Source organism: Homo sapiens, chromosome 9 (genome assembly GCF_000001405.40).
Source record: "Homo sapiens chromosome 9, GRCh38.p14 Primary Assembly".
NCBI classification, from domain to species: domain Eukaryota; kingdom Metazoa; phylum Chordata; class Mammalia; order Primates; family Hominidae; genus Homo; species Homo sapiens.
In genome coordinates, this window is record NC_000009.12 from 107,058,955 (window position 1) to 107,072,414 (window position 13,460).

At 40.5% G+C, this 13,460-nt stretch overlaps 1 long non-coding RNA gene across 1 annotated transcript in view; it reads right to left on the bottom strand.

Moving 5' to 3' along the window:
* LOC340512 (uncharacterized) overlaps window positions 1-13,460 on the bottom strand; it is a 128,156-nt gene that overhangs the window by 84,122 nt on the left and 30,574 nt on the right. The window contains exon 4 of the long non-coding RNA NR_126029.1: window positions 2,196-2,270. This is a non-coding gene — a long non-coding RNA (uncharacterized LOC340512). The remainder of the gene's footprint in view (window positions 1-2,195; window positions 2,271-13,460) is intronic.

The following is a 13,460-nucleotide window of genomic DNA, read 5'->3' on the forward strand; positions in this document are numbered from 1 at the left end:
TTTTTAAGAGGTTTAAAGTATGAAGAAGACCAAATAACTTTTTAAAATCTAAATATAATGGCTAATAGGTGAACAATAATGAATATTTAAGAAAGACCTCAAACAAAGAAAAGAATTATTCTGCTGCTGTCTTCCTCAAGCACATGAAGTTTCTCTGAGCTGGTGAATGTTTCAATTCAGGTTGGTAATGCCTGACAGAGAAGTAGAAAGTTAGTTTCCTTCAGAAGGAAAAAGAATGGATTCCACTTTAAAGATTAAATTTTGATCTGGGAGCTATAACAGCACTGTCAAATAATTATTATTGTTATTTTTACAAATCTATTTCACTTTAAAACAAGTTGGGAAATTTCTGACTTAGTTTAAATGAGACCTCAATTCTCCCAGGCCTGATCTGCCACCTGAGGCAGGATCTCCTGCTGAAAAAGTGCTGTGCTGAGGCATTAAAATGGCAGCTCCCACTGAGAGAAATAACGGAGCCAGAATCTTGCAGCAGAGATGCTGAACAGTAGGGGAGGAAGCGAGGAAGGGAAGCTAATTTTTCCAGGCAGATCTGAATGCTTCTTTCTCATAGGCCCTCTTAGTCAATATTTATCTAGCTATTCAAAGAATTATAACCAATTGTTGATCTCTTTTTCCTTTTCTTTAAATGTATTTCTTTGCCTCTTTGTAGTACACTGAATTTGGGGGAACAGAATGAAGTTCTAGCTTCTTCATTCCAAGCCTTACGATATCAGAAGAAAACTTGTGGCTGAGATTTGACCAAACTGTGAGGCCCAGACAATTGGTGCAAGCCCTGTGGAAAACAAAGCTTATGCTACCAGCTTCCAGGTGTTGATTTATAGAGTTAAGCTTCTTTAAGTATATTTTCCTAGAGTCTTTTGTTTTTATTTTTGCCATGGCACCATTTGGAGGGGGCTTTACTGGCCAGTCCTTCTGACTTTCTGCTTTCTCTGACTTTAGACATTAGAATAGTTTTCCTGGGAGAAGAAATCTTCTTTGCTATTTTAAAGTACAGTGGGATACACAGAAAATGTAAAGTAAAAGGTCCCAACTTGCATTTCTGTAACTGTTGAGTAAGAAGTGTAAAGGAGCCCAGGTTTCGCTGGCCTTCCACCTTGGCTTTTTGATGGGGAGCCTGAGCCAAGTCCATAGAGGTCTAGAAGCCAGGGGAGAAATCAGAGATGAAGTCTAAGGGGAAATGCCTGAATTTGTGTGCAGATGTTTTCTTGAGAATGCCTTAAGGAATACCAGTGAGGAAGTGAAGAAAGCAGAACTGGGTGGAGTTGAAGGGGAAGTTGAACTGAGATGCAGTTCCAACAGATCCCAGGAGAGCTCTGAGGCTGAAATGACTCTCAGAGATCTCCAAAATTGAGATGAGAGGGCTGGGACTTTGTATCCCCACAATAACTAGTGGTTGAATAGAGGCTGTCCCCCACGGAGGGGCTACCTTGGGAAAGGCAGCTCCCTTCAGCTAAGGACGATTTCTGTAGATAGTCAGCAGGCAATGCTCCCAGCAGCTGGGAAGTGAATGCCTCAGCTCTGATGGGGGGAATGTGAGTGGTACATCACACACTCATTATGGGGCCACTCTTTATACATGTATACAATTTACTGCTGAAGCCTTTTTTGGACTCTAAAATGTGACTCTTCTCTGTCACTTATGTCTCAGTCTGTTTTGTGTTGCTGTAACAATACCACGGATTGGGTAATTTATAAAGAAAAGAAATTCTCACAGTGCTGAAGGCTGAGAAGTCCAAGATCAAGGTGCCAGCATCTGGTGCAGGCCTTCTTGTTAACAGCATCCACGGTAGAAGGTGGAAGAGAGGGCAGGAAAGCCAGAGATTGAACTCCTAGCATAAAGTCCTTTAATAATTGACATTAATCTATTCATGAGGATGGAGGCCTCATGACCTAAACACCTCCCATTAGGCTCCACTCTTCAACACTGTTTCATTGGGGATTAAGTTCCCAACACATGCTTTTGGGAGGATGCATTCAAACCATCACAATTTGCTTCTGGATTTACACTTGCATGACAATTCTACATCTGTCATCTGGTTTCATAAATCCTAATAGAATTCTAGATGGGAAGGTAACATGATCTAATCCAACACCCTCATGTTACAAATGGAGAAACTGAGGCTATGAGAGCAGGAATAAGTTACTTTTGGTGTCAGACTCAGGATTGGAATCACCTCTTTTGACTTCCAAACTCCCATGCTCTTTCCATTACCAATGTATGCTGCCTCCATTTCATTGTTATGGTGGCCCTGAAAAATACGAAGGAAAAGTATATTTTCTTTATACCTGGGAGATATTGTGGGTTTGATTCCAGATAATTGAAATAAAGCAAATATCACAATAAAATGAATTATATAATTTTTTTAGTTTCCCAAAGCATGTAAAAGTTATGTTTATACTATACTGTTTGTCTCTTAAATCTGCAATAGCATTATGTCTAAAAAAAAGTACATGCCTTAATTTAAAAAATACTTCATTGCTAAAAAAATGCCAACTATAATATCATCTGAGCCTTCATGGAGTCATAATCATTTTGCTGGTGGAGTATCTTGCCTCAGTATGAACGGTTGCTGACTGATTAGGGTGCTGGTTGATGGAAATTGGGGTGACTATGGCAATTTATTCAAATAAGACAACAATGAAGTTTGTTGCATCATTTGACTCTTCCTTTCAGGAAAGAGTTCCCTGCAGCATGCAATGCCATTTGACAGCGTTTTACCCACAGTAGGACTTCCTAACTTCCTTCAAAATTGCAGTCAATTCTCTCAACCCCTGCCACTGTTTTATCAACTAAGTTTATTTAATATTCTAAATATTTTGTTGGCATTTCAACAATATTCATAGCATCTTCACCAGGAGTAGATTCCATCTCAAGAAACTGCTTTCTTCACACCTCCATAAAAAGCAACTCCTCATCTGTTCAAGTTTTATAATGAAATTTTATCATGAGATTCAGTCACATCTTCAGGCTGCACTTCAAATTGTAGTTCTCTTGCTATTTTCACCACATCTGCAGTTACTTCCTCCAATAAAATCTTGAACCCCTCAAAGTGATTCAGGAAGATTGGGATTAACTTTTCCGTCAGACAAATCACCATCTATGGCAGCTATAACATTATGATATATTTATTAAACAATAAGACTAAAAAATCAAAATTACTCCTTGATCCATGGGCTAAAGAATGGATATTGTGGTAACAGGCATGAAAACAAATATTGATCTCCTGTACATCTCCATCAGAGCTCTTGGTTGACCAGGTGCATTCTTACTGAGCTGTAATATTTTGAAAGGAATCTTTTTCTGAGCAGTAGGTCTTAACAGTGGGCTTCAAATATTCAATAAGCCATGCTATAAATAGAATGCTATCATCCAGGCTTTGTCATTCCATTTATACAGCACAAGCAGAGTAGATTTAGCATAATTGTTAAGGGTCCTTGGCTTTTCAGGATGGGAAATGAGCATTGGCTTCAACTTAAAGTCCCCAGCTGCATTAGTCCCTAACAAGAGAGTCAGCCTGTCCTTTGAAGTTTTGAAGCCAGGCATTGACTTCTTCTTTCTAGCTATTGAAAGTCCTAGATGGCACCTTCTATATAGATGTCCTAGATGGCACCCTCCAATAGAAGGCTGTTTTGTCTACATTGAAAATATGTTGTTTAATGGAGCCACCTTCATCAGTTTGTCTTAGCTGGATCTTCTGGGTAACTTGCTGCAGCTTCTACATCAGCACTTGCTGCTTCACCTTTTATGTTACGAAGACAGTGTCTTTTCTTTAACCTCTTGAGTCAAACTCTGCTAGTTTCATACTTTTCTTCTGCAGCTCCTCACCTTTCTCAGCTTTCATAGAATTGAAGAGAGTTTGGCCCTTGCTCTGAATTAGGCTTTGGCTTAAGGGAATGTTGTAGCTGGTTTGATTTTATATCCCAACCATTAATGCTTTCTCAGTATCAGCAATAAGGCTGTTTTGCTTTCTTATTTGTGTGGTAACTAGTGTAGCACTTTTAATTTCCTTCGATAACTTTTTCATTGCATTCACAACTTGGCTAACTTTTTGTCACAAAAGGCCTGGCTTTCAATCTATCTCAGCTTTCAATGTGCCTTCCTCACTAAGCATAATTGATTCCTAGCTTTTGATTTAAAGTGAAGGATGTGCAACTTTTCCTTTCACTTGAACACTTAGATGCCATTGTAGGAGTATTAATTGGCCTAATTTCAATATTGTTGTGTCTAAGGGAATAGGGAGGCAGGAGCGGGGAGAGAGAGAGAGAGATGGAAAAATAGCCAGTGGTAGAACAGTCAGAACACACACAACATTTATTGGTTAAGTTTGCCCTCTTACATGGGCACAACTTGTGGTGCCTCAAACCAATTACAATATCAAGGGTCACTGATCCCAGATCACCATAACAGATACAATAATAATAATGTAGTAGTCTAATGTAATAGCATAATAATGTAATAATAATAATGTGAAAGTTTGAAATATTGTAAGAATTACTAAAATGTGACACAGAGACCCAAAGTGAACACACACTGTAGGAAAAAAGTCACCAATAGACTTGCTCAACCCAAGGTTGCCACAAACCTTCAACTTGTCAAAAACTCCAAATCTGAAAGCATGATGAAACAAAGCACAATAAAATGAGGTATGCCAATATTTATATAAAAATGAAGTGATCTGGCAAAGCTCACGTAAACCAAAAATGAAATTCTAAGACCCCCCAACTATCTGAACGGACTTCCTCCTAGGCCAGGGCACTTTAAAATTTAACCTGAAAGACTGATTCAGGCCACGAAGGGAAGTGGGGATAGGACATACCCCATTATGCCTCTCCAGTATTAACGTCAACATGACCTTAAGTCTGATAAGAACCATTTAAAATTTATTCTCTCTGAAGCCTGCTACCTGGAGGATTTACCTATTTGATAAAACTTCAGTCTCCACAACATCTTATCTCAACCCAGACCTTCCTTTCTATTGATAACTCTTTCAACTAATTACCAATTAGAAACACTTGAAATCTACCTATAACCTAGCCTGGAAGCCCTACCCCCACCACCCCTCCACCCCCACTTTGAGTTGTCCCACCTTTCTGGACTGAACCAATGTATTTCTTAAACGTATTTGATTAAAGTCTCATGTATCCCTAAAATGTATAAAACCAATGCACCCTGACCACCTTGGGCACATGTTCTTAGGATCTCCTGAGGGCTGGGTCACAGGCCATGGTCACTCATATTTGGCTCAGAATAAATCTCTTCAAATATTTTATAGAGTTTCACTCTTTTTGTCAACACTCACAAAGGTAGAAAGTGGAAAGATTCTACAGGTCTGTTAGAGGACAAAGCTGTTGCTCTGCCCACCACATCACCCAGGGGGACCTTCCCCAAGAGGCCCCACCTCTATTCAGTGAAGCTCAATGATCATTTATTGAGCAACTGGACACTGTAGGCCCCGACAAAATAAAGATTAATCATTACATCAACTTTCAATGAGTTCATCCCATCTAAGTGGGGTAAAAAATAAAAGTACAAACCAGTTAAGAGCTACTTGGTAAAGGTTCTGAATGACTAACCAATGCTCCAACAGAGGAGGACCATAACTCAGCCTGAAGGCTTCCTAGAAGAGGTGATGGCTGAAGGTATTCATTTACATTTTAACCATGATTCATTCACATTGAACAATGCCTCATCCTCCCTGCACGCCAGCACCTTGACTTCTAAGGCATTCTCTAGCTCAGGTGTCTCTCCATTATCCTCTCAGGGACCAGAACCAGCCACCTATAAGAGGAAACCAGAGCCAACAGAACCAGTCACCTGTGAGAGGAAACCAGAGCCAAGCTTTCCCCCACCCACCAACGACAGCCCATCTGTAACAGATAATTCATTAAGCCCTCTCAGATCTGAGTGCTCATCTTCTTCCCCTCACCCTCACATTTGTCTGAGTTTATATATCATGACTGCTTAACTGAACAAGTAAAATCACCTCCTGTCTGGTCTCCCTGCCCCCAGTTTTGCCCTGCCCTCTCCTTTCTGTTCCTACCATACATATATATGACTTTGCCATTTTCTGTTAAAAATCCTTCTATGACCCCACAACAACTTTCTCTTGATATGATGTCTTGACACTTGTATGGCTTCACATGCTGTTTATCTGCCTGGAAAACCCTTAACTGAATCCCTTTTGCCTTGCAAACTCCTTGCAAAATCATTTAATGTGTAGCTGTTCAAAGATGTAAAAACCATTCTTAGCTTGTAGTGTAGTTTAGTCCTTGAGAGCCAAATTTGGCCTATGAGTTGCAGTATGCTAACCCCTTGCCATAAAGGATGAGTAGAGAGGGTCCACACTGAGGGGAAAGGCCAGGGAGATAAGCCGTGGCTGATCATGGAGGGCTAAAATGGCAGTCAGAAAATCTAGGACTTGACTGTGGAATCAATGGTGAACTATCAAAGAGCTTTAAGCAGGGAAGGGACATGATCTGATTTGTGTTTTATAAAGGTTCAGCTAGTGCAGTAGCAAAGGAAGTCTTTATTCATCTGAACTATAAAAACTCTATCCATCCAGTCACTATCTTCTGATCCCAACATGTGAGCGTCTCAGGTGGATTCCAACACCATCTCTTTTTCCAAATGAGGAATTCTTGGAAAGAGGTAACCCTCAGGACTATAAGCTCTTATATCTTTCTGCAAGAGCAAGAGGCCTTGGATTTGTGAGAACGTTCCTAGGGGACAACTTTCCTTATCCCTTCCAATGAAAATAAAAGGGCCATTTGTAACCAATGGAACAGGGCCCATGAAGAACATTCTCTGTGCCTCTGCAGACCCATTTCTGCCTGGGTCTCCTGATGACAATTGTTATTTATCTGACCTTCTCTTCCACATCATTCCAACTCCCACACTTAGTTCCAAAACAGGTCTTAAATCACTCAGGAGCCAAGCCAGGCTGAAAAAGGAAGTAACCATGGCCAGGCCAGTGTTTCAGCACTCTCTGCAGACATCAAAACAAAGACAGGGTAAAGTCCGAAGAAATCACCTGCAAAAAAATCAAAGCAAGATGTTGGCATCTTCTTCAGGGATTGTCCCAAATTAAGATGGAAATGTCTGTGCATAAAACAGGCAAGGGAGTCAGAAGTCTTTCCAGGGGAGGCCTTGGTAGCTAAATCAGATGATGACAATTGCTGGATATTACAAATTTGTGCATGAGTTAAATGAGTATCTGCTTTTGGATGCCAGTGAGACCACCTTAAGAATGTCAGCTTAATACTGGCCTCTGGGGAGGCCATACCCACTTTACTGCCAATATTAACTCTCCTCTATACCCTTCCCTCCAAGCAAACAACCTTGATTCTGACTGTACTGACTTGCTGAGGTTGTGGTAATTCTACTTTGCTATTATCATGCTGTGTCTACCTTCATGCTGTAGTGCTGGTGTGAGATCTACTCTGTTAGCTCCAGGCTAGAAGAAGGTCAAATTAGTCACTCAAATACTAAGTCTTCAATGCATCAGCACCACCTCTCCCATGCCACTATCCTTTATTCAGGTAAAGTGACATCCTCAGCATTCTATAATAATCTTCTTGGGATAATGTCACCAAGGAGGGACAAAGCTTTTGGTTTCATGAGTTCTATTTAGGATTGAGCTTTAGAAACATGGTTCAAATGGATCAGATAACTTGAAGTTGGCAGGCTTTCAAAATTTTTAAATTATCTTAGGAAAGTCATCATGAAAAGTGCCTACAGTTGTCCCAGAATAATCTTTCCAATATTCTGATGGCCAAATATTTCAGATAAAATATCCCAACAAGTTGCTGGGTTCCTAAGGATCTTATAGTCCAGACCTCATGTTTATTAAAAAGAAAACTGTGAATATAGCAAATTATCCCACCAAACACCTGGGTATTTTGATGGCCTGCAGAGAACACATTTATTTTCTGCTGTAGCAAGAATCTGCCTGACCATCTTTAAAAAGAAGACCTTGGCTGACAGGGTTCATTTGGTGCTTCTCAGAATAGGATAGCTTTGGGGCAGGTAGAGGTATTATAGGATATTTGTGAAGGATTATTTCTGGATTGCTAAACTACTTAGTGACCTATTTTGAGGTTATCCAGTTAAGACTGGGGTACTATTTAAGAGGAAGAGGAAGCTCCAGGAGTAGTAATAACCCCAACATCCCCACCACCACTGCCTTTCACCTTTGGAGAATTGGTAAAGGAAGGCTGTGACCAAGTATTTAGAGTTCTGCCTTCACAAGATTCCATTAAGTCCTTATCTTATGCAAAAAGTCAGCTTTGAGGGCCTGGGATTAAATTATATTAGGGCAAAAATGAAGAGGAAAGGGACCCTACAAATCTCACTACCAAAGGCTTGTATATATGACAAACCAGGCGCCCAACTCACAAATCAGAACCGCTGGCCTTAAGCAATCATTTGCAAGGTTGGGGTATATGTGTAGAGGGTCACTGGGTGTGCCATCTCAAAGTGGGAAAACCACCTGCTTACACATCCACTGCCTGGAGGAGCAAGGAGCCCGCACCCAGGAAATACACAGGTGGGGACTAATTGCTTCATCCACTATAGCAGGCTTATTCCACTATCCAAAGTCACCCAGATTATAGGAGAGAGGGTGTTTTTACTATGTAGGTGTCCTTTCAGAATTCACCCAGATGATGTGAAAATTCTGAAAATAGTATTAAAAGAAAAACTTTAGAATAATCCGATGTAACAGAGTTTAATTGAATGAAGATCAGCTCACCAACTGGGCAGTCTTAAGGGCCAGAATAGGTTCAGAGCAACTCCAGGGATGCTGCTTGGTTGGGTAACATTTACAGACCAAAAAAGGAAAGTGACATACAGAACACAGAAGCAAGGTACAGAAACAGCAGGGTTAGGTACAGGTTGGCGTTTGCCTTATCTGAACACTGTTTAAACATTTGGCTGCCTGTAATGGACTGAAACTCGGCTGCAGTGATTGGCTGAGACTCGCTACCTGTTATGAGAGTACGTTACACTCTGTGTACACAGCAAGTCAGGTTACAGTTTAATATGTATGAAGAAACCTTTAAGCCAATATTAAAATATGTATGGATGCAGCTTTAGGCCAAACTTAATTTAATAGCAATTTACTGTGAGAAGGCCCCAGTCTAATGGAAGTGTGCAAGTCTAATAAAACTCCACTTGCGAAGCTTGTGCCTGGATCCTTTGGTCTCCCTGACTGAGGCAGGTATCAAATGTCTTAAGTTCCTCTTGCAGAGTAGGTCCGGGCTTCTGCTGGGCTGACTCAACTTTGTTGGGCTATTCTCCTGAGGCAGTTCTCATGACCAGATCTCTGACAATCAATTATTTCACTGGATCACTATGACTTCCCTGGGGCCAATCATTCCCTGCACCTTGTACACAAGCAAGGGTCCAACTCTGCCTGGTATGACTAGGTGAGTACTTCTTGGGGGTCAGCTCTTTGGTGCCTATTGTGTAATCTGAAGCTCTGCAGAAGCACTAGGTCTTCTTCAGGTGTCTCAGGTGTAACCTGAACGAGGATCATAACCAAGAGCCCTTGTTAGACTAAGGCACTAACCCCAACCCCACAGACTGGCCAGGGCAGATGGGACCATTTGGTGAGCGGGGTCATCACTTAGCTTTGCAACATTTTCTTCCCTGGAATGAATGCCATCAACACCCTACCTGCAGTTCTAGACCTTACAAGACAGAAATCTAGCCATTGCCTGTGGGCACCTCCCAGCTAAACCACCACACACTCATAAACTCATAAAGGGACACTGTGTTATCTCTCTGTATGGGAAAGAAGCTGAACTTTGGACCTGGTCAGGCTCACTCAAATATCCTTGAGCTTGGGGTGGAGAGAGGAGACATGCCTCTGACACCCCATTAACATGAGAAAGTAGATTCAGAGCAGGGGAGTTATGCTGTTCAACAATAGTGGCAAGCATTCATCACGTGTTTACTATGGTGCAGGCATTGTTTAAGTACTTTGCATGTATGAAATCATTTAAGCCTTCTGATAATCAGCCAAGGTACATAATGTTTTCGTTCCTTTCTTTTTTTTTCCTTTGTTTTGAGATGGAATCTCACTCTGTCACCCAGGCTGGATTGCAGTGGTGTGATCTCGGCTTACTGCAACCTTCGTTTTCCAGGTTCAAGTGATTCTCCTGCCTCAGCCTCCCAAGTAGCTGGGACTACAGGCGCGTGCTACCACACCCAGCTAATTTTGGTATATTTATTTTATTTTATTTTATTTTGAGAGGGAGTCTCCCTCTGTCTCCAGGCTGGAGCGCAGTGGTGTGATCTCTGCTCACTGCAACCTCTACCTCCCTGGTTCAAGCAATTCTCTCTGCCTTAGCCTCCCAAGTAGCTAGGATTACAGGCACACACCACCACACCCAGCTACTTTTTGTATTTTTAGTAGACATGGGGTTTCATCATATCGGACAGGATGGTCTCGATCTCCTGACCTCACGATCCACCCACCTCGGCCTCCCAAAGTGCTGGGATTACAGGCATGAGCCACTGCACCCACCCTTGTATATTTATTAATAGTAGAGATGAGTTTCACCATGTTGGCCAGGCTGGTCTTGAACTCCTGACCTCAAGTGATCCACTTGCCTTGGCCTCCCAAAGTGCTGAGATTACAGGCACGAGCTGTCATGCTGGGTCTGTTTTCATTCTATGTATGAGAAAAATGAAGCACAGAGAAGTGAAGGGGTTTGATGCACATATTAAGTGGCTGAATGGGGAATCAAACCCAGGCTGCTGGCTCCTGAACCCGAGTCTAACCTTTATTCCCCTCCTAGGACTGTATTTCACATTCTATAATTTAATCCTTCCAGGTACCCTGAAAGCTTTACTAGCCCATTTTATGGACAAGAAATTGAGTTTCAGAGAGGCTAAAACATTTTTCCAAAAATCACAGTGTTAGCCAAACAGGGATTTCAGTCCCTGCCTCCAAGGCCCACATTTTGACCCCATATATGACACTCTGTAGGTTTGTTTTCCAGAAGCTTTTTTTTTTTTTTTTGGTCAGCTTTTAAAATGACTTTAAAAGTTTATTCAACAGAAGTAATTTCATTACTATTTCGGGGAGGGAATCACCAACTTTTTGGTGCAAACAATGCTAGCCTTCTTTTAAGCATTAAGAGCACGACTTCTTAAGAAATGACATAAGCAATAATTCGACACCTCCGTCTCCCCTAAAATAATATATTTTATTAATGTGTGCACAGCTTTAGCAAATTAGCCTGAGATAAATGATAGAGTTCCACTATCCAGAGGCAAAAGCAGGGTCTATTAGAACTCATCATTGCATTTTCCAGAAGTTTTAAAGCCTATGAGGTGGGAGAGCCATTCAGAGAGGATTAAAAAATAGATATTTGGAGAGTAATTAAATTAATATGTATTTTTCTCACATTGTCGATTTGAAGTTACATCATGTGGGGTTTGGAACACAGAAATATATTACGTGTTACTTGGTTTGCAAATAAAATGTCCATGCCTTGTTCATTTAATGACATGAAAGCCTAGAAAAGGATGGAAACAAACTGGGACCAGTAAAAAAATAAACAAACAAAAAGACCCTTAGGGATTTAGAAAAACAAACAAACATGTTTTTCAGTACTTTTTAAAATTGTCATGGTTTCTCTTCCTTGGTTATTGTAGAGCTCTCCTGCAGTCACACACAATTTGCAATTGACCATTTGGGAGAAAGTATTTTGGCCCAATTGTGTAGTCTCTCTGTCCCATCCACAAAGGGTGGCACAGTCCAGAGGGCTGCTGCCATTCATCAAACGGGCTCAGCTTTTAGACTCAGCTTTTAGAGCCACCCCATGGGGAAGGGCAATTGTTCCTCATGGTCCCAAGGGAGGACATCAGTTTGGCTGTGACAGTCCCCCAATCACATGCATAATTGTTCCAGGGGAAGTATTACAGGACCAACAAAAAGAAATCTGTGCTGTATTATTTTGTAGGTTCCAACTGGTTGGATATGAAACAAAACAAAAAAGAAATTACATACTTGATGCAAAATTGGAACATTTAACATTTCTATTTCTTTTAGACATTTTAATCTGTTCCTCCATGAGGATAGCTAATGGTTGTCTAAAAGCTTTTGCCACTTTTCGACTGCATTTTAAGATGGCTATTTTCTCTAGCTGGTCCTTCCAACAAAACCATGTTCGTTTTGTTCTTAGGATTTATTTCCAAGGATACAGTTCTTAGAGTAATTTAGGAATTATCCAAAGAATTATTAAAGGATTTAAGAATCTTAATATAGCAGTATTAATTTACTAAAGGATCCTTCAGGAAATGTTTCTGAATGTCTGATGGTGAGGAAAATCTTAGAAAAAATTATTGAAGCCATGGAGAAATATGATGCTACTGTGATAAGTATGTCTTTTTATATAAAAATGTATATATATATGTATATTACATTTATATCAGGCAAATTCCTTTGATAGTATTATGCTAATACTTTTCCCAAAACATATTATTTTCATCATCATGAAGAGATACATGATGTGTAGGCTGATCTGCAAGGAAGGATAATATGCTTGTTGATGAATGCCTTTTCTATTTACAGTTCTATTCTTAAAGCTAATTAAATTCAACTTTGATCTCAGCTTAATAAGAAGAACTATTTGGATTTCAAAAGTAATATTTAATATCAGAAAGCCAGTCCTCTCAGTATTTCCTTGTGTTAGCAAGTGGTGAATGAGCCAGATGGTATTAATTAAACAACCAACCTTGAGCGCAGAAGAGTACACAAAATCTCAATCAGTGACTTTAAAGATTCTTCTCCCTCCTTGGGCACATTAAGTTTTCATCTACAACATCTGAGGAACATCATCTGCTTTGCTCATATATCGCCCCAATAATGAGTTGAAAATAGAATTCCTCCTCCGTAAAGCATTTCTATAATTTGTAGGAAAATGCTGTGAAAGCTATGTATGTAAGAGCAAGAGTTCAAAAGTCATGATCAAGTGCAGAAGGGGACTCCTCCCTTGCTTGCTACAATGGTGGGTCTATGAACTGGCCAACCTTTCCTTTCACTGAGACCCTGGGGGTATTTTGGAGGTAGCAACTGGGGTGGAGCTGACCTGTGGGAAAGGAAAATGGTCACCTTGTCATTGGTGCAAAGGATAGAAAAGAAGGACCCCTTGTGATTGGGCAATAGAAAAAGGAGTGAGATAAAGAAAGATGTCTGAACTTGGGATTCCAAGCTGAATGCTGTTCAATGGATGGTGCAAACCTTCTCCACGTTCCTTATACAGTCTCCAGTGAAATCCATATTGTTCATAAATGCTGTTGTACAATTTAATTCTATAGGATAGTTCAGAGAAGAGAACAGGAAAGAACTGATGTCCTGGTTACATTCTCATGGAACCAATATAAGTAGTGGTAAGAACCCCAAAAATCTACAGTTCTGAAAATGAGT